This window comes from Homo sapiens, chromosome 3, assembly GCF_000001405.40.
Source record: "Homo sapiens chromosome 3, GRCh38.p14 Primary Assembly".
NCBI lineage: Eukaryota > Metazoa > Chordata > Mammalia > Primates > Hominidae > Homo > Homo sapiens.
In genome coordinates this window covers 128965266-128989320 of record NC_000003.12, presented here as the reverse complement: position 1 = coordinate 128989320, position 24055 = coordinate 128965266, and the positions used below count along the sequence as shown (strand labels likewise).

The window sequence follows — 24055 nt, the reverse complement described above, 5'->3', positions numbered from 1 at the left end:
TGTACTGTGATTTTTTTTTTTTTTTTTTTTTACCTGCTTCTTAGGGCCAGGAGGGACCAGGGTAAGGCAAGTATGGCGTCTCTCCTAATAACATCTGGCCTGGCCATGTGATTTCACTTTAACTCTATCACCTTTTTAACCCTAGGCCTACTAACCAACACTCACTCTCCAACTGAGACACTCACTCTGAAAACCATGCACCTAAATTTTGCACTCAGGTGCCCAGTCCAGGTCGTGCTACTCTGCTGGCTAGGAGCACTGGACCTGTACCTCCTTCCCCAAGTCGGGCAGGCAATGTGGAGTGCTCAGCCTCTCACAACATCAAGCTCCAGGGAACTGGGGAGACGGGTCTGCTTTTCCACATGAGGTTAAAACGAGACTTTTTCAATCTGTATCTTCAAGGTCAGAAGGGAAAATATGCAAGTTTGATTGAAAAATATAAGAAACACCCTAAAACAGACAGTTCTGTTACAAAGATGCGTCGTTTTTACCACATTGAGTATTTCCTTCTGCCGGACGATGAAGAACCTAAAAAAGTTGACATATTGCTATTTCCAATGGTGGCCAAAGTATTCCTGGAGTCAGGAGTAAAGGTGCGTGTGTGAGTGTGTGTGGCCTTGTGTATGGTCTGATGCTCATCACGAAAAGTGTGCTGCTCCATGGATATGCAACATCAGCTCCACCTCCAGCTTGCTAGAATTGGAGGATCCCGGGCCCCACCTCCTGAGTGGGAATCTGCACTGGCCTGATCATTCCAATTACTGACTTTTTTTTTTTTGTTGAGTCAGAGTCTTGCTCTGTTGCCCAGGCTGGAGTAGAGTGGTGCAATCTTTGCTCACCACAACCTCTGCCTCCCGGTTCAAGCAATTCTCATGCCTCAGCCACCTGAGTAGCTGGAATTACAAGCACGAGCCACCATGCCCAGCTAGTTTTTGTACTTTTAGTAGAGACGGGATTTCACTATGTTGGCCAGGCTGGCTTCGAACTCCTGACCTCAAGTCATCCTCCCGCGTTGGCCTCCCTAAGTGCTGGGATTACAGGCGTGAGCCACCGCACCTGGCCTATTTTTTATTTAGATATTTTACCCAGTAATTTCCAGAATGTTTCAAAAGTTTTTGTAGTTCTTGAGATTTCTTTTTTCTGTGTGTGTGCATGTGTGCAGACGTGTGTGTGCATGTGTGTGTACACACTACCTGCACACACACACTCCTGCCAGTGGTTTGGCCCTGGGTCATTGCTTAGAAGCAATCGAGGAGGATGCTATTTGCAGGTAATTACTTTGATTTTATTCTTCCTAAGGAATTCAAAAGTCTGACAGGGCCCAGCACACAACGCCCCATTTTCCCTGAGCTCAGAGCCTGGAGAGTGACCAGGCACTGAAGTCAGGCAGCGCTGCTGCTGAGGGCCAGGCTGGGGCTGGGGCTTGCTCTGTTCGCCACGGCCTTTGCACATCTTTCCCCAGTTGACATCTCTGAATGTTGTTTTACACAGACTGTGAAGCCGTGGCACGAAGGTGACAAAGCCTGGGTGTCGTGGGAGCAGACTTTTAATATCACTGTGACAAAGGAATTATTAAAGAAAATAAATTTCCACAAAATCACCTTGAGGCTCTGGAACACTAAAGACAAGATGTCAAGAAAAGTCAGATATTACCGATTAAAGACTGCCGGCTTCACAGACGACGTGGGAGCTTTTCATAAGTCAGGTGCTCTGGTTTTATTTGAAATGGTTCTGGAAGCCTGGGGCTTACTCACTAGTAACAGCATAAAAGCCAGTGTCTCCTGGTTTCCTTCATCTAATTGGCATGTGCACACACGGGTTTTGCAGATGTTGCAGGGCATCCCACCAGGCCATGCTGTGGTGACAGGAAGCGCCACATAGGGGAGTGAGGGTGTGGTGGGCAGTGTTCTTGAAACTCCACCTTTTGGGCCCTTTCATTCCAGGGCAGCTCTGACACAGGCACCCATCACCGGTCTGGACTAGTATTATATGTTCACTGAAAAAAAAAAACAAAAAACAAACTTAGAGGATACCAAGGAACAAAAGAGAAAACTTAAAAATCCCACCACCCCAAGCCAATTGTCTTAAGAGTCTCATGTAGACTCTTCCAGACTCATTTGTGTAAATATATCAATATCAGAAAGTCTTTTTTTTTCTTTCGAGATGGAGTCTCGCTCTGTCGCCCAGGCTGGAGTGCGGTGGTGCGATCTCGGCTCACTGCAACCTCTGCCTCCCCAGTTCAAGCCATTCTCCTGCCTCAGCCTCCTGAGCAGCTGGGACTCCAGGCATGCGCCACCACGCCCGGCTAATTTTTGTGTTTTTAGTAGAGACGGGGTTTCGCCATGTTGGCCAGGCTGGTCTCGAACTCCTGACCTCAGGTGATCCACCCACCTTGGCCTCTCGAAGTACTGGGAACACAGGTGTGAGCTACTGTGCCCAGCCAATGTCAGAAAGTCTTTTGAACTCATTTTGAAGGAGAGAGCCAGGAGGGATGGAAAGATGCAGGCTTTGAAGCCAGACGGTAGAATTCAGTCCTGTCTCCATCTTGTACTTGTTGGTGACTTGGGCATGTTCCTGAACATACGTTTCTCATCTGCAAAAAAGGAAAAATAACTAGTACCTGCTTCACTGGAATACTGGAGGCAGGTTGACCGGCGTGGTCTACCTGGGTGCAAGCAATGAGGGTGTGCATTGTCTATAGAAAATTTAAGAACTGTAATTAAATGCTACTAACTAAACTATGACATGGCATTAATTGTAAGATGCATCCTGATGCTTAGAGATGTTAAAAATTAAAAAAAGGCAGGTACAGTGGCTCATGCCTGTAATCCCAGCACTTTGGGAGGCTGAGGCAGGAGTTTGAGACCAGCCTGGGTAACGTGGCAAGACCCTGTCTCTATAAAAAATTTAAAAATCAGCCCAGCATGGTGACGTGCTCCTGTAATTCTAGCTTCTTGGAAGGCTGAAGTGGGAGGATTGCTTAATCCTGGGAGGTCGAGGCTTCAGTAAGCTGTGTTTGTACGACTGCACACCAGCCTGGGTGATGGAGCAAGACCTTATCTCAAAAAAAAAAAAAAAAAGTAAAACAGATGTACATATTAGAATCAATGATATATGGTACTATTATCGTTGTCAGCACCTTCCAGACGAGTATAATTATCCTCAATTTTGTGTGGCTGGAAAGCCTTGCTTTTCTCTGATTTTCCAGCCCACCTTCTCAAGGAGCCTTTCTGACCTTGGAGGCTTGGAACTTCCCACTTTCAGTCTTTCATTTATGTCCAGGGTTTCTTACTCTTGGCACTATTGACATTTTGGGCCAGATAATTCCTCGCTGTGGGGGCTGTTCTGTGGATTGCTGGGTGTTTTGCAGCATTTCTGGCCTCTACCCACTAGCTGCCAGTAGTAGCCTGCCAGTTGTGACAATCAGATTTCTTCAGACATTGCCAGATGTTCCCTGGGGGTCAAAATCACCCCTGGCTGAGAAACACTGATATATATACCTACACTACAAGTCGTAGGCTTCCAGTGTGAGAAAATGGGATTCAAGGTAATTTTTCTCACCTGGACTATAGGAAAGAACCATGTCCTCAAAGTGTGGGTTGTGGACCACCTGCATCAGATGCTTACATGCAGATTCCAGGCCTGTTTGGATCTGCTGAGCCAGACTTTCTGGTTAGTATCTGCCCTGCAGTGGGCTTTCACTGGAGTAGGGTGTTGAGGTGGGAGTATCAGGAAGGATTCCTGGAGGAAGGGCCATAGTAGCAAAGTTTGGGTGGGTAAAGGGAATTTGGTGGCCAGAAAAGGAAGGAGAAAAGGTGTTCTAGGGCCTCCTGCTATGAGTATTCTTATTGATTGATTGAGACAGTCTCACTCTGTTGCCCAGGTTGGAGTACAGTGATGTGATCATAGCTTACTGCAGCTTTGAGCTCCTGGGCTCAAGTGATTCCTCCTGCCTCAGCCTCCTGAGTAGCTGGGACCACGGGTATGTGCCACCACACATGGCTACTTTTTAAATTTTATCTTTTATAGAGATTGAGTCTTACTGTGTTACCCAAGCTGGTCTCTAACTCCTGGTCTTAAGCAATCCTCCTGCCTTGGCCTCCTAAAGTGCTGGGATCACAAGCGTGAGCCACTATGCCTAGCACTGTGAAACGTTGCAATGACAGCACCTGCTCCTTCCTGAACCCTGTCCCAAGCTTAGCATCACTGCTTCTTATTTAAATAAGTTTTTCCCCATTAAAAAAGCAGTGCGAATTCACTTTGTAAAACAATTTAGATATCACCTAGCAAAAAAGAGAAAAAATTAAAACCACATGATTCCTGTCCAGAGATAGCCATTGTTAACATTTTTCCTGTGAATCTAGTGTACATGTTGTCTTAAGTCCTGCCTTTTCTCACGTAAAAAGATTTCTTACAGAAACTCTTATTTCTTGGGAGTGCAGAAATGCTGTAAGAGTTCTGCCTCATGTTATGAAGGGGATAGGATGTTTCTTGGATGCCTGGTAGGTCACATGCCAGAACTTGTTAGCATTCAGCCTGCTGGTCTTGAAGAAACATCCTAATCTGACTCAGTGTACTAGTCAGTGTTCTCTAGAGGGAAGGGCTAATAGGATAGATGTATATATGAAAGGGAGTTTATTAAGGAGTATTGACTCACATGATCACAAGGTGAAGTCCCACAATAGGCCGTCTGCAAGCTGAGGAGCAAGGAAGCCAGTCCGAGTCCCAAAACCTCAAAAATAGGGAGGCCGACAGTGCAGCCTTCAGTCTGTGACCGAAGGCCTGAGAGCCCCCCGGCAAACCACTGGTGTAGGTCCAAGAGTCTAAAAGTTGAAGAACTTGGAGGCTGATGTTTGAGGGCAGGAAGCCTCCAGCATGGGAGAAAGATGAAGGCCGGAAGACTCAGGAAGTCAGCTCCTTCCATGTTCTTCTGCCTGCTTTCTTCTAGCCATGCTGGCAGCTGATTAGATGGTGCCCACCCAGCTTGAGGGTGGGTCTGCCTCTCCCAGTCCACTGACTCAAATGTTAATCTCTTTTGGCAACACCCTCACAGATACAAGCAGGATCAATACTTTGCATTCCTTCAATCAAGTTGACACTTAGTATTAACCATCACACTCAGCATTTCTTTTCCCTTTAATCTGCTCGTCTGCTCGATTTCTCAGGACTGGATGAAGACAGCATTCTTTTCAAAGCCCCCCAGTCATATTTAATTACTCCTATGCTCTCAATTCTGGGCACCCCCACCTGGTGCCCAGTGGGTGTCCCCCGCCTGTTGTTCTTGAGAGCTCTCTGCCCAGCTGTCTTTTCCCTCCTGCCCTCTGGCTTTCTCTGCACTCAGGTTTGTTCCCCCTCCTCTCTCCTGCCGGCCTGGCCTTTCTCTGTCTCCCCTTCGGCCCTGGTGCTGCCTTGCTCTGCAGCTGTTCATGGCTGCCCCAGGGCCTTTAGAGAACCAAGTGGTTCTGGCCTTGAAGGCATTTTACAATCTGTTTCCAAGCCTCCTCCTCACTGCCACTGCCCCTTCACACCACAGCCCACCTCCTGGTCCCTGCAGACACGTGGCTCTCCCTTGTGGTAAGGCCTGCCTCCAGCCAGCTGGGCATTCTTCCACGGCTCCCAGCCTCATCTCTTTCCCCAAAAATGTTATCTATAATTCAACACTGAATCCAATTTCACCTCCTTTTTTCCACTTCTTTCTTGTAGCGTCTTTCATCTCCATTTGTCAATTCACTTCCTCCATTCATTCATTATCCTACCCATTCTTGGTGGCTGCCATGTGCATGCGAGGCCTCTAGGGATAGAAATGAAAGGCATTGAGGAGCTGACACTCTGGCTGGGGACAAGGCACTCTGAGTGCAGTCCTGGCTTTGTTAAGGACTACCTCTCTGACCACAGGAAAGTTACTTCAGTGTCAGATCTTCATCTGTGAGATGGGGAATGTTACTGCCCTCCTTAAAGTGGAATTCTAGGAGCGAGTGGGGCAGCACATGTCACAGGCTCAATGCTCGCATTTGGAGGAGGCTGCTGGCCTGCTGAGGTCTGAGAACCTCAACATGTGTGCCTATCCCAGACATGTGTGCTTATTGTTTTGAGTTTCCTGGAATTTGGAGGCAGCAGCTCCAGGAGAACAGGGGCCTTATCCATTGCTTCATCTTCTTCAGAGGAAAGTGAGTGTCACTTATAGGCATACCTTGGTTGATAATGCTTTGCCTTATTGGGCTTCACAGAGATCATGCGTTTTCCAAATTGGAGGTTTGTGGCAACCCTGTGTTGAACAAGTCTATTGACGCCGTTTTTTCAACCTCGTGTGCTCACTTTGTGTCTCTGTCACATTTTGATAATTCTCGGATTTTTCACACTTATTATATCTGCTTTGGTGATCTGCGATCTGTGATCTTTGAAGTCACTATTGTAAATGTTTGGAGGTGCCACGAACTGCATGTGTGTGAAACGGTGAACTTAACTGATAAATGCTGTGTGTGTTCTGACTCCAGAACACAGGGTTCCAGTGATCGGCCATTCTCCTGTCTCTCCCTCTCTTCAGGCCTCCCTATTCCCTGAGATACACAATACCAAAATTAGGTCAATTAATAACCTTACAATGGCCTCTAAAGTGTTCAAGTGAAAGGAGGCCTTGCACATCTCTCCCTTTAAGTCAAAAGCTTGAAATGATTAAGCTTAGTGAGGAAGCCACATCGAAAAGCCTAGATAGGATGAAAGCTAGGCCTCTTGTGCTGAACAGTTAGCCAAGTTGAGGATGTAAGGGAAAAGTTCTAGAAGGAAGTTAAACGTGCTACTCCAGTGAACACAGGAATGATAAGAAAGTGAAACAGCCTTATAGCTGATACAGAGGAAGTTTTAATGGTCTGGATAGAAGATCACACCAGCCACAATATTAACTGAAGCCTAATCCAGAGCAAAGCCCTAACTTTCTTCAGTTCCATGAAGGCTGAGAGAGGTGAGGACGCTGCAAAAGACAACTTTGAAGCTAGCAGAGATTGGTTTATGAGGTTTAAGGAAAGGAGCCATCTCCATAACATAAAAGTGTAAGGTGAAACAGCAAGTGCTGACGGAGAAGCTGCAGCAAGTTGTTTAGGAGATCTAGCTAAGATCACTGATGAAGGCAACTACACTAAGCCACAGATTTTCAGAGTAGATGAGACAGCCTTCTACTGGAAGAAGCTGCCATCTAGGACTTTCATAGCTAGAGAGAAGTCAATGCCTGGCTTCAAAGGACAGGCTGACTCTCTTGATAGGGACAGTGCAGCTGGTGACTTAAAGTAGAGGCCAATGCTCATTGACCATTCCCAGAACCCTAGAGCCTATTAAGAATGATGCTAAGTCTGCCTGTGCTCTAGAAATGGAACAACAAAGCCTGGATGACAGCACATCTGTTTATAGCATGGTTTACTGAATATTTAAAGCCAACTGTTGACACCTACCGCTTAGAAAAAGACTCCTTTCTAATATGACTGCTCATTGATAATGCACCTGGTTGCCTGAGGTCTCTGATGGAGGTGTACAAAGAGGTGACTTTGGTTTCAACATCCATGCTACAGCCTGTGGATCAAGGAGTAATTTTGACTTTCAAATCTTATTATCTAAAAGCCACATTTCATAAGGCCATAGCTTCCATAGATAGTGATTCCTTTGATTGATATGGGCCAAGTAAATTGAAAACCTTCTAGAAGTCCAGGTGCGGTGGCTCAAGCCTGTAATCCCAGCACTTTGGGAGGCCGAGGTGGGTGGATCACCTGAGGTCAGGAATTTGAGACCAGTGTGGCCAACATAGTGAAACCCTATCTCCACTAAAAATACAAAAAATATCTGGGTGTGGTGGCAGGTGCCTGTAATCCCAGCTACTTGGGAGGCTGAGGCTAGAGAATTGCTTGAACCTGGGAGGTGGAGGTTGCAGTGAGCCGAAATTGTGCCATTGCACTCCAGCCTGGGTGACAGAGCAAGACTGCATCTCAAAAACAAAACAAGGCCAGGCGCGGTGGCTCACTCCTGTAATCTCAGCACTTTGGGAGGCCGAGGGGGACAGATCACGAGGTCAGGAGATCAAGACGATCCTAACTAACGTGGTGAAACCCTGTCTCTACTCAAAATACAAAAAATTAGCCGGGTGTGGTGGTGGGCGCCTGTAGTCCCAGCTCCTTGGGAGGCTGAGGCAGGAGAATGGCGTGAACCTGGGAGGCAGAGCTTGCAATGAGCCGAGATCGCACCACTGCACTCCAGCCTGGGTGACGGAGCGAGACTCTGCCTCGAAAAAAAAAAAAAAAGAAAGAAAAAGCTTCCGGAAAGGATTCCCCATTCTAGATGTCTTTAAAACATCTGTGATTCATGGGAGGAGGTAAAAACATCAACATTAACAGGAGTTTGGAAGAAGTGGATTCCAGCCCTCATGGCTGACTCTGAAGGGTTCAAGTCTTCAGTGGAGCAAGTCACTGCAGATGTGGTGGAAACAGCAAGAGAACTAGAATTAGAAGTGGAGCCTGAGGATGTGACTGAATTGCTGCAGTCTCATGATCAAATTTGAACAGATGAGGAGTTGCTTCTTAGGGATGAGTAAAGAAAGTGATTTCTTGAGATGAGATGGAATCTACTCCTCGTGAAGAGGCTGTGAACATTGTTGAAATGACAATAGGATTTAGAATAGTACACACATTTAGTTGATAAAGAAGTGGCAGGGTTTGAGAGGATTGACTCCAATTTTGAAAGCCGTTCTACTGTGGGCAAAATGCTATGAAACAGCTTCACATGCTACAGAGAAACCGTTCATGAAAGGAAGAGTTGATCAATGCAGGCAAATTCATGGTGAGGTGAACCCAGCCCTCAGCACCCACCATCCTGATCACTGAGCAGCTGTCAACATTGAGGTAAGACCCCCACAGCAGAAAGATGATTACCCACAGGCTCAGATGAGTGTTAGCTTTTTTTTTTTTTTTTTTTTTGAGACAGGGTCTTGCTCTGTCCCCCAGGCAGCAGTGCAGTGGTGTGATCATGGCTCACTGTAGCCTTGACCTCCTAGAATCAAGCAGCCCTCCCACCTCAGCCTCCCGAGTAGCTGGAATTACAGGTGCATGCCACCATGCCCAGCTATTTTTCTTTTTGTAGAAACAAGGTTTCACCATGTTGCCTAGGCTTGTCTTGAACTCCTGGCCTCAAGCGATCCTCTTATCTCAGTCTCCCACAGTGCTGGTATTACAGGCATGAGCCACTGTGCCCAGCCTGTAATATATTTTAGCAATGAAGTATTTTTTTCTCTTTTTCTTCCTTTCTCTCTTCCCTCGCTCCTTTTCTTCCTTTCTTCCTTCCCTCCTTTCTTTCTTTTTCTCTTTTTTCTTTTATATATATATATATATATATATATTATTATACTTTAAGTTTTAGGGTACATGTGCACAACGTGCAGGTTTGTTACATATGTATACATGTGCCATGTTGGTGTGCTACCCCCATTAACTCGTCATTTACATTAGGTATATCTCCTAATGCTATCCGTCCCCCTTCCCCCCACCCCACAACAGGCCCCGGTGTGTGATGTTCCCCTTCTTGGGTCCAAGTGTTCTCACTGTTCAATTCCCACCTATGAGTGAGAACATGCGGTGTTTGGTTTTTTTGTCCTTCCGATAGTTTGCTGAGAATGATGGTTTCCAGCTTCATCCATGTCCCTACAAAGGACATGAACTCATCCTTTTTTATGGCTGCATAGTATTCCATGGTGTATATGTGCCACATTTTCTTAATCCAGCCTATCATTGTTGGACATTTGGGTTGGTTTCAAGTCTTTGCTATTGTGAATAGTGCTGCAATAAACATACGTGTGCATGTGTCTTTACAGCAGCATGATTTATAATCCTTTGGGTATATACCCAGTAATGGGATGGCTGGGTCAAATGGTATTTCTAGTTCTAGATCCCTGAGGAATCGCCACACTGTCTTCCACAGTGGTTGAACTAGTTTACAGTCCCACCAACAGTGTAAAAGTGTTCCTATTTCTCCACATCCTCTCCCACACCTGTTGTTTCCTGACTTTTTAATGATCGCCATTCTAACTGGTGTGAGATGGTATTTCATTGTGGTTTTGACTTGCATTCTCTGATGGCCAGTGATGATGAGCATTTTTCATGTGTCTGTTGGCTGCATAGATGTCTTCTTTTGAGAAGTGTCTGTTCATATCCTTTGCCCACTTGTTGATGGGGTTGTTTTTTTCTTGTAAATTTGTTTGAGTTCTTTGTAGATTCTGGATGTTAGCCCTTTATCAGATGAGTAGGTTGCAAAAATTTTCTCCCATTCTGTTGCCTGTTCACTCTGATGGTAGTTTCTTTTGCTGTGCAGAAGCTCTTTAGTTTAATTAGATCCCATTTGTCAATTTTGGCTTTTGTTACCATTGTTTTTGGTGTTTTAGACATGAAGTCCTTGCCCATGCCTATGTCCTGAATGGTAATGCCTAGGTTTTCTTCTAGGGTTTTTATGGTTTTAGGTGTAACATTTAAGTCTTCAATCCATCTTGAATTAATTTTTGTATAAGGTGTAAGGAAGGGATCCAGTTTCAGCTTTCTACATATGGCTAGCCAGTTTTCCCAGCACCATTTGTTGAATAGGGAATCCTTTCCCCATTTCTTGTTTTTGTCAGGTTTGTCAAAGATCAGATAGTTGTAGATGTGTGGTATTATTTCTGAGGGCTCTGTTCTGTTCCATTGGTCTATTTCTCTGTTTTGGTACCAGTACGAGTCTCTATCTCTTAGCCAGGCTGGACTGCAGTGGTGCAGTCACAGCTCCCTGCAGCTTCAAACTCCTGGGCTCAGGCAGTCCTCCCAATTCAGCCTCTCAAAGTGCTGGGATTACGGACATGAGCCACCGTATCTGGCCCCAATAAGGTATTTTTTAAACTTAGGTATGTACATTTTTTTTTAGATATAATGCTTTTGCACACTTAATAGACTACAGTATGATATAAACATAATTTATATGCACTGGGAAGATAATGTATGACTCACTTTATTGTGATATTTACTTTAGTGTAGTCTGAAACCGAACGCCCAGTGTCTCCAAGAAATGCCCATAGTAGTTAATTCAATAAATATTTTGGATTGATTGAGTCAATGATCCTTTCTTCTCCTGCATTCTAGAAGTGAGACATTTGGTTTTAAATCAGAGAAAATTATCTGAACAGGGCATTGAGAATACCAACATTGTCAGAGAAGAGTCGAACCAGGAACATCCGCCAGGAAAACAAGAAAAAACAGAAAAACACCCAAAGTCTTTGCAAGGTGAGCGGAGAAGGCCTTTGTGGACAAGCTGAGTGCAAGGCGATGGCAGGGAAAGCGGTTGTGTGGTGTGCTGGAGCAATGCATCTGCATGGGCGTCCCTCCTGTGTATTGGCAGCAGAGGCGGGCGGGGCTCACCCTGCCACACGGCTGTATTGCTCTTGCTGCATGGCTTACTTTTTGTTACTGATTCTGAGTTCTGCTCTTGTCCCCCAGGCTGGAATGCAATGGCACGATCTTGGCTCACTGCAACCTCTGCCTCCTGGGTTCAAGTGATTCTCCTGCCTCAGCCTCCCGAGTAGCTGGGATTACAGGCGCCCACTACCACACCCAGCTAATTTTTGTATTTTTAGTAGAGACGGGGTTTCACCATGTTGGCCAGGCTGGTCTTGAACTCCTGACCTCAAGTGATCCACCCACCTCAGCCCCCAAAGTGCTGAGATTATAGGTGTGAGCCACTGCACCTGGTCCGAAAAACTTTTCTGACTGTGGAAGTTGTATATGTGGTTTTTAGAAAATTCAGTGAATAGATAAAAGTATAAAACAAACAGGGAAAACAATTTCATCACGAGGAGCAATCTATGTAACATTGTAGTGTGGTGGCTATGTAGTATTTCATCTGCTGGGCAGACTGTAATTTGCTAACCATTCCCTATGGTTGGGAACTTAGGACTGTTTTCATTATTCTCTAATGTAAACAGGACTGAAATGGACAATTTAATAGATAATAGACTTTCTTCTTTTTCTCTGTGGGCTGTTATGTAAGGAACTGGAGGTCTCCTCTTGACTACATTTATCCAAATAATCAAATATTAGTCTGTATGTTTATTCATTCACTCAGTTATTAACAATATCCCAGGCCTTACCACATCCCAGGCCTTCTGCATAGAGACTGACATTACAGAAATGGGTCAGGGGCCCTCATTTCTTAGTGAACTAGCATGTAACAAAAAGCTTGGAAATATTTGCTACTGTTTTCAGGTTCTCACCAAGCAGAGCCCGAAACTTCTTCCAAGAACAGTGAGGAATATGAGAAGTCCCTCAAAATGGACGATTCTTCCACGATTCAGTAAGGATTGAACGATATTTTGGGTGGTGGGAGTGGAGCCCCTCTTGTACTAGCCCTACTATGAGTCGTGGTAGGTTTTTTAGTAAATCCAGTTAAACTGGATCTCATGCAATCCAGGCTAACTTAAGCTAACAGGGAAGGGGTAGCTTGTGTTTATGAGTACATGTTGCACATCAAGCTTTCTGCATGCATTATTTTATCTCATTTGATCCTCATAATGATAACTTTGTGAGGTGGTATGACTATCTCCGTTTCCTAAAAAGGTGACTGAGTAATTAAATGGTTTACACAAAGTGATAAACCAGAATTCCTGGTTAAGCCAGGTTTCCAACCCACACCTTCAGACTCCTGAGTCTCCAGCCATCCTGCATGAGGTCAGTTGCTCTTAGGGTCTCTGGTAGCCCAAGAAGGGTCTGGAGAAGGAGACTCCTTGGATGCTATGGGGACAAGGGAGAGAATGGAAGCTCAGCTGGTGGTTTTGGGAAATGGAATGAGAAGAACCGAGAGAACATGTCTTTAAGCAATTTTGATTTTTAAAAATTGTTTTTGTATTGAATATATAGATTAATTTGGGAAGAATTGACATTTTTACATTGTTAAGGTGTCTCATCCATGATCATGGTATATATCCTTTCACTCAGTTCAGACCCCCCTTATGTCCTTTAATAGAGTTCATTTGTTCTGCCTATAAATGTTGTGGATAATTCCTATAAGTGAATTCTTAGATGTTTTATAGTTTGGGTTATTTTTATTAAAATATATTATTTTCCATCATATTTTTGAGTTTGTTAGTATCTTGAATGCAGACCAAGTGTGTCAGCATTAGGGGGGATTTGGTAGAAATGGAGAATTTCAGGCCTGCCCCTGGTTTACTGAACCAGAGTCTACATTTTATTTGACAAAATCCCTAGGTAACTCACAGGCACATTGAAAACTGAGAAGCACTGGGTTAGAGGAATGCACTATGAGGTTTTTAAAAAATCTGCTCTCATTTAGTCCATCAGTAAATAGATTCTCAGATCTGGCCCCTGATTTTTTTCACCTTCATTAATTTTTCTCTTTGTGAATTTTCTAGATGGAGTGTTTCAAGAACACCAACCATTTCTTTGGCAGGAGCAAGCATGATGGAGATCAAGGAATTAATTGAGAGTGAATCACTTAGCAGCTTAACAAACATATTAGACAGACAAAGGTCTCAAAGTAAGTTAGGATAGGATTTGGGAATTTTATAATATAACTAGACTTGGAATAATTATGAAATATTTTAAATTCAGGATACTTCAATGAGATTCTTGCATATTTGACAAAATGTTTCTCAAAAGTAAGAGTACTGTATACATTTTCAACTTATGCATCCCATCCTTACCGTCTATCCATCCATCCACCCATCCCCATCCATCCATTCATCTATCTGTCCATCCCCATCTATCCATCCATCTCTATTCATCCATCCATTCATTCATCCATCCCCATCCATTCATCTGTCCACCCACCCATTCCATTTATTCATCCATCCATCCATCCATCCATCCATCCATCCATCCATCCATCCCTATCCATCCATCTCCATCCATCCATCCATTTGTTCCATTTCTTCTCATGTCATTCACTCACCCTCATCATCCATTCCATTCCATCAATATTTTTGACCCATGGTGTTGTGCATATGGGGAACATGAAAATCTCTAATATCTAATGGAGACTTTCAAATAAAGAATTACAATTCTTTGTGATAGATGTTGTGGTATGGGTAGGTACGTGGTATGTTGGGGAGGCATAAAAGAATCATGTTTATGGAAAGACTCTCCTTGAAAGATAAAGTATTTACTCTTTTTATTTTATTTTATTTTATTTTTTTTGAGATGGAGTCTCACTCTGTCACCCAGGCTGGAGTGCAGTTGTGCAGTCTCGGCTCACTGCAAGCTCTGTCTCCCGGGTTCACGCCATTCTTCTGCCTCAGCCTCCCGAATAGCTGGGACTACAGGCGCCCGCCACCACGCCTGGCTAATTTTTTGTGTTTTTATTAGAGACGGGGTTTCACCATGTTAGCCAGGATCGTCTCGATCTCCTGACCTCGTGATCTGCCCGCCTCGGCCTCCCAAAGTGCTGGATTACAGGCGTGAGCCACCACGCCTGGCCTTCTCTTCTTTTTTTTTCTGAGAGGGAGCCTCACTCTATTGCCCAGGCTGGAGTGCAATGGCGCAATCTTGGCTCACTGCAACCTCTGCCTCTTGGGTTCAAACAATTCTGCTGCCTCAGCCTCCTGAGTAGCTGGGATTACAGGCGTCCACCACCACACCCAGCTAATTTTTGTATTTTTAGTAGAGACAGGGTTTCACCATGTTGGTCAGGCTGGTCTTGAACTCCTGATCTCAAATGATCTGCCTGCCTCAGCCTCCCAAAGTGCTGGGATTACAAGCGTGAGCCACTGTGCCTGGCCTAGTGTTCACTCTTATGGTGGAATGAAGAACACAGCATCCTGTGTTATGGGATCCGTTCATGCAGAAGCATGTAATCTTATTCACATACTGTCAAGAGAGCAGAACCCTCAGAAGCCACTAAATCAACTTCCTCATTCTCAGCTTAGATCCCCTCACCAGTTTCTCATTAAGAAGTTGTGTTTCCAGTGTGAGGTGGGAAAATCTAGAGCCAGTGGGTATACTGCTGCCTCCTGGGATGGGCCATTTCACGTCCTTTTAGCTATAATTGCTACAGATCATTTCCTCATCTCTCCATCAGTTAATCTGTTGTTTCCTGACACTGGCCTGGTTCTAGTGCAACAGTCTATGGCTGCAGAGGGAAGTGACTGCTTGAGCCAGGCTCTCTGCTGGGTGCTGGAGACACAGTTGAAGAAAACTCATTCCTATTCCTACGGTCCACAAAGACTAAGTCACACTTTCACATGTGAATGCCTCTCAACTCCTGACTTTTGTCTTTTCCGGATTAAAAGTGTCACTCTTTTTAAAAATGTGCTTTAAGCATTTAATGAGATTTTTAAACCGTTCTTTTTATTTTGAAATAAAGATAGGAAAGTTCACATGAAAATGCAACAACTACATATTCACAATTTAGGTGTTAGCATTTTGCCATGTGTTATGGGTGGACCGTCCTGCATGCACACAGTCCCCGTGCCAGGGATCTGAGTTGTCTCCAATTTCTTGCTCTCCAGCACTGCCATGGTGAGCATCTGGGCACACATGTGAGTCCACGGCATTGGCCCAGTGGGACCCCTGGGACACAGGCTGTGAGCCTCGACCCCATTGCTAGATGCTAGTGGTTTACTCTCCAGGCAGCATCTCTCTCTTTTTTTTTTTTTTTTCTTGAGACAGAGTTCTGCTCTTATTGCCTAGGCTGGAGTACAATGGCGCGATCTCGGCTCACCACAACCTCCATCTCCCGGGTTCAAGCAATTCTCCTACCTCAGCCTCCCGAGTAGCTGGGGTTACAGGCATGTGCTACCATGCCTGGCTAGTTTTGTATTTTTAGTAGAGACAGAGTTTCTCCATGTTGGCCAGGCTGGTCTTGAACTCCCGACCTCAGGTGATCCGCTTGCCTCGGCCTCCCAAAGTGCTGGGATTACAGGTGTGAGCCACCGGGCCCGGCCTCAGGCGGCATCTGTTCCCCCCTGCTTGCAGTCCTGAGGATTGCTGTTCTCCCCGGTCTGCACGGGCATGGTTTAGTTCCTGACTCCTGGTGAGGCTGAGCAGCATTGCATAGGCTTATTTGGTCACACTCTTCTGTGATTTTCCTATTCATATCTTTGCTTATTTTTCTGTTAGTTTAAAAAAAATTGTCTTACTGATCTGCCAGCTTTGTGTTTACATCTGGATAATTGTACATTGCCAGTTATATGCATGGTAATCCTCACAGACAGGGGTATATAACTTATCGTTTGACTTGATTTATGTTATCTTGTTTTGTACACCAATTATTTAACTATTCCTCTCTAGTTTATACTTTCACGAATGTTTAAGAAATCCTTCCTCAGCTGGGTATGCTGGTGCACGCCTGTAGTCCAAGCTACTTGCAAGACTGAGGGGATGATCACTTGAGCCCAGAGTTCATAGCCAGCTTTGGCAACATAGTGAAACATCATCTCTCTATCTTTTTTTTTTTTTTTTCAAGGACTGAGTTTCGCTCTTGTAGCCCAGGCTGGAGTACAATGGCGCGATCTGGGCTCACTGCTACCTCTGCCTCCCAGGTTCAAGTGATTCTCCTGCCTCAGCCTCCCAAGTAGCTGGGATTACAGATGCCCGCCACCACACCTGGCTAATTTTTTATTTTTAGTAAAGATGGGGTTTCACCATGTTGGCCAGGCTAGTATCAAAATCCTGACCTCAGGCGATCCACTTGCCTCAGCCTCCCAAAGTGCCAGGTTTACAGGAGTGAGTTACCACACTCGGGCGAAACATCACCTCTTAAAAAAAAGAAAAAAGAGGCCAGGTGCGGTGGCTTACACCTGTAATCCTAGCACTTTGGGAGGCCAAGGCAGATGGATCACCTGAGGTCAGGAGTTCGAGACCAGCCTGGCCAACATGGTGAAACCTCATCTCTATTAAAAATACAAAAATTAGCTGGGCGTGGTAGCACGCGCCTGTGGTCCCAGCTACTCAGGAGTCTAAGGCAGGAGAATCACTTGAACCCAGGAGGCAGAGGTTGCAATGAGCCTCGATCGTGCCATTGCACTCCAGCCTGGGCAACAGAGTGAAACTCCGTCTCAAAAAAAAAAAAGAAAGAAATCCTTCATCCAGATGTCAGTATAGTCTCCTAGATATTCTTCTGATGATTTTAAAGTTTTTGTTTTATACTTTTAGTCTGGAATTCATTTTGTATATGCCGTGAAGTAATTCAATAACTTAATTTGCTCCCATATGGATAATCAATATAACTTATCCACTGATTTGAAATGCCACTTCTGGCATCTGTTAGGTTCCCCTATGTGTTTGGGTCTGTTCCTGGGCTTTCTCGTCTGTCCCATTGGTCTTGTCTTGATGACCGTAGATTTATATGTGTTCTCATCTCCTTTTCCTTCTGGTCTGAGCTTGGCACTGAGCTGAGTGTTTTATGTAGCGTTGCTAATTTCCTCTTCTCAGTGTCCTAGAAGGCAGGTGCTGTTGCCCTCATATAACAGGTGAGGTTACTGAGGCTCAGACTGTGGGCTTTTGTTTGTTTAAGAGCAGGGTCTCTTAAAAAAGCCCACCGTCCACCCTGCACTGACATTAAGAGCTGACTGGAAGAGAGCCTTGAGTGTGTTATGGCATCATTGTCATGATGACCTTAGTTCTCTTCTGTCTGTGTTCTCAGTTAGCAGAGGCGGGGAATGAGAGGCCCTCACCCTATTACTACATATAACTGGCAACGGGCCTGCCATCTATATTTAGCCACCACTTCTGGTTGCTGGGAAGAGGCAGTCACACAAAGAATAACCCCTGCCTTCTAGGAGCTTCCAGAACCTTCCTGAATCTCTGTAGCATGTTCAGGTCCACATATGGCAGCTCAGATACAGTCTCCTCTTAATGCTCATCTCCTTTGTTTGATTTCACAGTTAAAGGGAAAGATTCAGAGGGAAGAAGGAAAATCCAGAGGAGACATAAGAAGCCCCTGGCAGAAGAAGAGGCAGACCCCACGCTGACAGGCCCCAGGAAGCAGAGCGCTTTCTCCATCCAGCTGGCCGTCATGCCGCTCCTTGCCGGTACCCACTGCTTGCCCTGTTCCCAGCAGCTCCTGCTTGTCTTGTGGCCAGAACGGCCATAAGCGGATGCTCCTAATGACAACCCTGCTGCGTGCCACCTCATTTCATCCTCACAGCCACCTCAGGAAACTCAGGGGAATTGGCTTCATAGTACAGGGGGAAACAAAGGCCCAGAGAGGGTAGCTACCTTGCCTGAGATCACACAGCTAGGAAATGTGAAGCCTGGACTTGAACCCAGCTCTGTTTGATTCCAAAATCCAAGGAAGCCTATGGGAATATTAAATGTCATCATTGTGTTTGTTAAGAAGATGCTGCTTTTAATAAATGCTTTCCTACAGATTTTTACAAAAACATCTAGTAAAGGGAATGAGGAAAGGGAACCCTTTTTGACTGAGCCCCTCTGGGTGCAGGCACTTCCCGTGTGACACATCACTTACTTCTCAGACCAAATTCTGACCCACTCAGCCAACCTGTGGTGTGGTGGTGGCTGTGGTGGTTATCATAGTTACCATTTTTTTCAGTGAGGAAAAGAACTCAAAGAGGTTAAGTAACTTTCCTAATCCCACACAGCTCAGTGGCCAAACAGGGATTTAATTATTTTGCTTTATAAGATCTACCACAATTTATGAACTGGACTTTATACATACTGGTAAATCATAACTAAATATTATATCAATATGTTTTGATGATTGAAAGCTCAGCATATATTTTGGTAAAATTATGTTGCTTTGTTCCAAAAAAGAGTAATATGGGGTGAACTCCCCCCCTTTTTTTTTCTTTTTAGAGAAAATTCAGACTTTGTTCGTTTTTTTGCCATCACGTGTCTTGTGCGCCCTCTCCTGGCTACTCTGCAGAAGCGCGTGCGTTGGTCTTTTCTGAGCTGGAACCAGCATTCATAGAGAAGGGGGCAAAAACCCCGTAAGTCAGAGCCTCCAGTTCAGTTCCACAGGTGCCAGTCGTCATCCTCCTCTCGCGCTCTTGGGTTGGTGTCAATTCAGTTTGAGAAAGTGCTATTAACTTTTCAGTTTGCACTTTTTTTTTTTTTGAGATAGGGTCTTGCTCTCTCACCCAGGCTGGAGTGTAAGTGACATGATCATAGCTCACTCCAGCCTGAAGCAAGCCTCCCGCCTCTGCCACCCGCATAGCTAAGACTACAGGTGCACACCACCACACCTGGCTATTTTTTTTATTTTCTGTAGAGACAAGGTCTTGCTATGTTGCCCAGGCTGGTCTCAAACTCCTGGTCACAAGTAATCCTCCTGCTTCAGCCTCTCAGAGTTCTAGAATTACAGGCATGAGCTGCCGCATTTGGCAGTTTGCAGTTTTAAATGACTTTTTGAAAATGATACTTCACCTACAGCTTGTCCTTCCTGATCACCTTCACTTTCTCGTAGCATCAGAACCTCTTGAGAGGCAACAGTGACAGAGAGTAAACTTTCAGAGGGTCTTACCCCACCCCACGCTCCAGCCTGACCCTCCAGCATACCTATTGCACACAGTAGCTTTGAGCGAACGCCTTTGCTAGCTGCTTCCTTCGTCCTACAGTCCCAAGGAGGAACCCATGATCCTCCTGGGGGAGCGTACCATGGGACCTGCCCCGCTTTGGATTTTACTGTGAGAGGAAAAAGAAGTTCAACCATTTGGGCCTGCCTGGCATGACTGTTTCCAGCAGAATGAAGCCAGGACATGGTCCCCTCTCTCTTTTTTTTTTTTCGAGATGGAGTCTTGCTCTGTCGCCCAGGCTGGAGTGCAGTGGCGCGATCTCGGCTCACTACAGCCTCTGCCCCCCCAGGTTTAAGCAATTCTCCTGCTTCAACCTCTAGAGTAGCTGGGATTACAGGCGCATGCCACCATGCCAGGCTAATTTTTGTATTTTTTGTAGAGATGGGGTTTCACAATTTTGGCCAGGCTGGTCTTGAACTCCTGACCTCGTGATTGTCTTACATGTCCGTGTGAAGAGACCAAACAGGCTTTGTGTAAGTAACAAGGCTGTTTATTTCACCTGGGTGCAGGCAGGCTGAGTCTGAAAAGAGAGTCAGCAAAGGGTGGTGGGATTATCATTAGTTCTTACAGGTTTTGGGATAGGCAGTGGAGTTAAGAGCAATGTTTTGGGGGCAGGGGGTGGATCTCACAAAGTACATTCTCAAGGGTGGGGAGAATTACAAAAAAACCTTCTTAAGGGTGGGGGAGATTATAAAGAACCTTCTTAAGTGTGGGGGAGATTACAAAGTACATTGATAGTTAGGGTGGGGCAGAAACAAATCACAATGGTGGAATGTCATCAGTTAAGGCTATTTTCACTTCTTTTGTGGATCTTCAGTTGCTTCAGGCCATCTGGATGTATACATGCAGGTCACTGGGGATATGATGGCTTAGCTTGGGCTCAGAGGCCTGACAGTGATCCACCTGCCTCAGCCTCCCAAAGTGCTGGGATTACAGGCGTGAGCTACCGCACTGGACCTAGCCTCCCCTCTCTATAACCTGCCCCGTCATGTACAATGCTGTACAGTGCAGGGGTTCACATGTAAGAACTTTGGTGACCAAAACACTTTGATCATGGCTCAGCCACTTACCAGCAAGTTACCTACTTTCTCTGAGTCTCACTTTCCTCCTCTGTGAAATGGGGGTGATTACTCCTACCTCAGAGCGTTGTTTTAAGGATCACAGGAGCTGACGTGTGTAAACTGCTAGCACAGTGGGACCCAGGGGGTGCAGGTGTGGAGGCAGCAGCTGTCCTGAGGCCATGTGTGTGGGCCGCTCCATTATACCCATGACATAGCCTATGGTCATCGACAGAGAACGGGTCAGCTCAGCAGGCCAGTTGTATGTCTGGTTTTGCCAGAAACTAATAGCATAAGATTATTTACTGTAAGCCCAGCATAATTATTTTTGGTAATCATCTTCAATTTCAAATTAGGCCATAGATCATGTATGTATACCTTATTAGTAAATATTGGTTGGCTAGTAACCCAGTAAGATTCTAGAAAGATTCTGTGTCTGGGAATGAGCTCTTATTTTAAAAGGATAGTATTGCATAGCGGAGGGGCCCCACTTAGCCCAACAGAACTGGTTTGGATGCTGGTTCTACAACGTATTTTCTAAGAGACCTTGGATGATTGCGTCAGAACTCTGGGCCTCATTTCCCCCATCTGTAATGTGGAGATGACAGCAACCACACAAGGTTAAGGATGAAATGACATTAGCGCATGTTTGGGACTGGCTGTTGGAGGAGCACAAACATTCCCTTACACCATTCCACTCTTAACCAGGGCTCTTAACTCAGGGGGCTTGTGTCTGCTGGGGACACTTGGCTGTGTGTGGAGGCATTTTGGTTGGCACGACTGAGAGTGGGATGCCACTGGCATCTAGTAAGATACTGTTAAACATGCCATAATGCACAGGACTGTCCCCTGAGCAAAGAATGGTCTGCCCCAACTGTCAGCAGTGTGGAGGCTGTGAGCCCGCAGCCTGGAATTCTGTTCTGGTGTATGTCTCCCTGACTCTGATGATTTGAGCACTTTTTTTTTATTTTTATTTTTGCAATGGGGATTCCTTCTACCTTGAGTAGTCTTTTTTTTTTTTTTGAGACGGAGTTTTGCTCTTGTTGCCCAGGCTGGAGTACAATGGCGCGATCTCAGCTCACCGCAACCTCCGCCTCCCGGGTTCAAGCGATTCTCCTGCATTAGCCTTCCTGAGTAGTTGGGAATACAGGCATGCGCTACCACGTCCGGCTGATTTTGTATTTTTGGTAGAGACGAGGTTTCTCCATTTTGGTCAGGCTGGTCTCAAACTCCCGACTTCAGGTGATCCGCCTGCCTCGGCCTGCCAAACTGCTGGGATTATAGGCGTGAGCCACCGTACCCGGCCTACCCTTGGGTAGTCTTTCATGTGAAAAGGCTCACAAAATTATAGAACACAGGCGTAATGGGTGACAGCTTTTATGAATCAGCTTTGTTAAAGAGGATCCTGCGGGAGCATGAGGGCTACCCCCAGGAGCTGTGCACGCCTCTGTTCACAGCCTGTGCAGATGGCTGTGCACACCTGGCCCGGGACTTGTTTTAGAAGTGCCTACTCTTTCTGAATGTGAGCGACTTGGCTTTTACATGCCCTAGAAATACATTTACAGGCATGTTGAAAGGAATAGACTGATCTTTTTGAGCACCATCTCATATATCATCTTTCTTAATCCTTTAAACCCAAGGAAGGTGGTGTCTATCCCCATTTTGAAGATGAAATTGAGCCTTGGAGACTCTAGCTTATCACATGACAAAGAGTCAGATCTGGGATTCAAACCCAGGTCAATCCTGCCTCCAAAACTTGAGGTGATTTTTTTTGTTTATTTGTTTTGTTTTTTCCTTACCTAGTACATCTCTGACTGGTGAAATACATGGATACCTTTTATAGAAAAAGCATTCTGGGCTGGGTGTGGTGGCTCACGCCTGTAATCCCTACACTTTGGGAGGCCGAGGCGGGTGGATCACGAGGTCAGGAGATCGAGAACAGCCTGGCTAACACGGTGAAACCCCGTCTTTACTAACAATACAAAAAATTAGCCAGGCATGTTGTCGGGCACCTGTAGTCCCAGCTACTTGGGAGGCTGAGGCAGGAGAATGGCGTGAACCCAGGAGGCGTAGCTAGCAGTGAGCCAAGACCGTGCCACTGTACTCCAGCCTGGGCAGCAGAGCAAGACTCTGTCTCAAAAAAAAAAAAAAAAAAAAGAAAAAGCATTCTGACAGCTCTGACAGCTACCTATATGCCTTGCAATGGCTCAATTCACCCACCCTTTTTGCGAGGCGCACTAGTGCAAAACCACCCTGGTGGGAGGTATGCACGCTTGTATTTGGCTCAGATGTGCCAGTTGTGTTCTACATCAGTATCTGTGCTTTCCTCATCAAATCACAACAGATGAAGCAACCCACTGAGTACCAAATGTACACACTGGCATGATATGTCCTTGGTGGGAGAACTGCCTGGAGCACTCCATCCAGTAGCCTTCCTGCAACGATGGCCAGGCTCTCTGCTGACCCATACAGGAGCCCATAGCCACATGAGGGTACTGGGCATTTGGAATGCGGCTTGTGTGGGGAAGGAAGTGCATTTTATATCTTATTTAATTTTAATTAGTTACAATTCAAGTAGCTACCTATGGCCCATAGCTACCATAGTGGATAGCACAGGTTTAGAACGTTGGTTTTCAAGTTACCTGGAGAGCTTTTAAACCTCCCATTGTGGAGGCCACACCCCAGACCAATTAAATCAGACTGTCTGGGAGTGGCACCCACACATAGGTGTTCCTATTGTGTCCTAGATGATTCAGGAAATACTTGTATTACTTCTTAAAAGATGTCATCAAGATTAAGTCACACAAATTCAATTCTAGAGAATTTACGGGACCTCAGTTTGAGAAACTAGCACAGGTCATGCTGCCTGTGGGTGTTTCCCAATTCTTTCTTTTCTTTTTTTTTTTTAATTAAAGTTTTCACTTTTGGGTTGTGATTTTATCATTGGCTCATCTCAGGTTGCTTGATCCCTCTGTGCGTGTCTTGGGGGTGTCGGGAGGAAAGGTCTAATGCTGGGTGTATTTCCCCCAGGATGGCAAACTGTCGTGAGTCGTGGCAGTGAGAAGTCTGCCAACATTTTAGATTGCCTTTTGACTTTAAAAACAGAAGTTCCGATCATGACCGAGGAGCAAAAGCAGGATTTAAATCCCCTGACCATAAAGATCAAGTGTGCTTCCTGCCTTCCATCACAGCCTGTACCCATTCAGGAACTAGAGGTAAGAATGAGCCGGACCCATGGAGTTTAGAGCTCCTCCCCTTCCACCCACCTGCCCGTCACATGCCACCTCTAGTCCTCCTGATGGCCCCACATGAGAAATGTGGTCATTCTCATACGGGTCCGTGTGAAGAGACTACCAAACAGGCTTTGTGTGAGCAACATGGCTGTTTATTTCACCTGGGTGCAGGCGGGCTGAGTCCGAAAAGAGAGTCAGCAAAGGGAGATAGGGGTGGGGCCGTTTTA

At 45.5% G+C, this 24055-nt stretch overlaps 1 protein-coding gene across 12 annotated transcripts in view, besides 2 other annotated features; it reads left to right on the top strand.

Annotated features, from left to right (window-relative positions):
- The window catches only part of CFAP92 (cilia and flagella associated protein 92 (putative)), a 116876-nt gene that overhangs the window by 37428 nt on the left and 55393 nt on the right, over positions 1–24055 (top strand). For 6 of the 12 annotated variants that reach the window (XM_017006945.2, XM_011513050.3, XM_047448638.1 and 3 more), the window contains exons 3-9: positions 403–593; positions 1492–1705; positions 11136–11276; positions 12255–12342; positions 13418–13542; positions 17888–18034; positions 23626–23810. In XM_017006945.2, coding sequence (XP_016862434.1) covers positions 403–593; positions 1492–1705; positions 11136–11276; positions 12255–12342; positions 13418–13542; positions 17888–18034; positions 23626–23810 — 1091 coding nt within the window. Of the gene's footprint in view, positions 1–402; positions 594–1491; positions 1706–3883; positions 3983–11135; positions 11277–12254; positions 12343–13417; positions 13543–17887; positions 22733–23625; positions 23811–24055 lie in introns of those variants that run through there. The other 6 variants (NM_001348522.2, NM_020741.3, NM_001348523.2 and 3 more) reach the window with 3 other exon arrangements.
- Positions 1186–2385: an enhancer, noted in NCBI's record as "CDK7 strongly-dependent group 2 enhancer chr3:128705779-128706978 (GRCh37/hg19 assembly coordinates)". NCBI's record gives its function as "activates an origin of replication core promoter dependent on BRD2, BRD4, P300/CBP, MED14 and CDK7 cofactors, with strong dependence on CDK7, by STARR-seq in HCT116 cells {active_cell/tissue: HCT116}" and the evidence as "EXISTENCE:reporter gene assay evidence [ECO:0000049][PMID:35650434]".
- Positions 2938–3138: a silencer, noted in NCBI's record as "peak4825 fragment used in MPRA reporter construct". NCBI's record gives its function as "represses an SCP1 promoter by STARR-seq MPRAs in K562 erythroleukemia cells {active_cell/tissue: K562}" and the evidence as "EXISTENCE:reporter gene assay evidence [ECO:0000049][PMID:32103011]".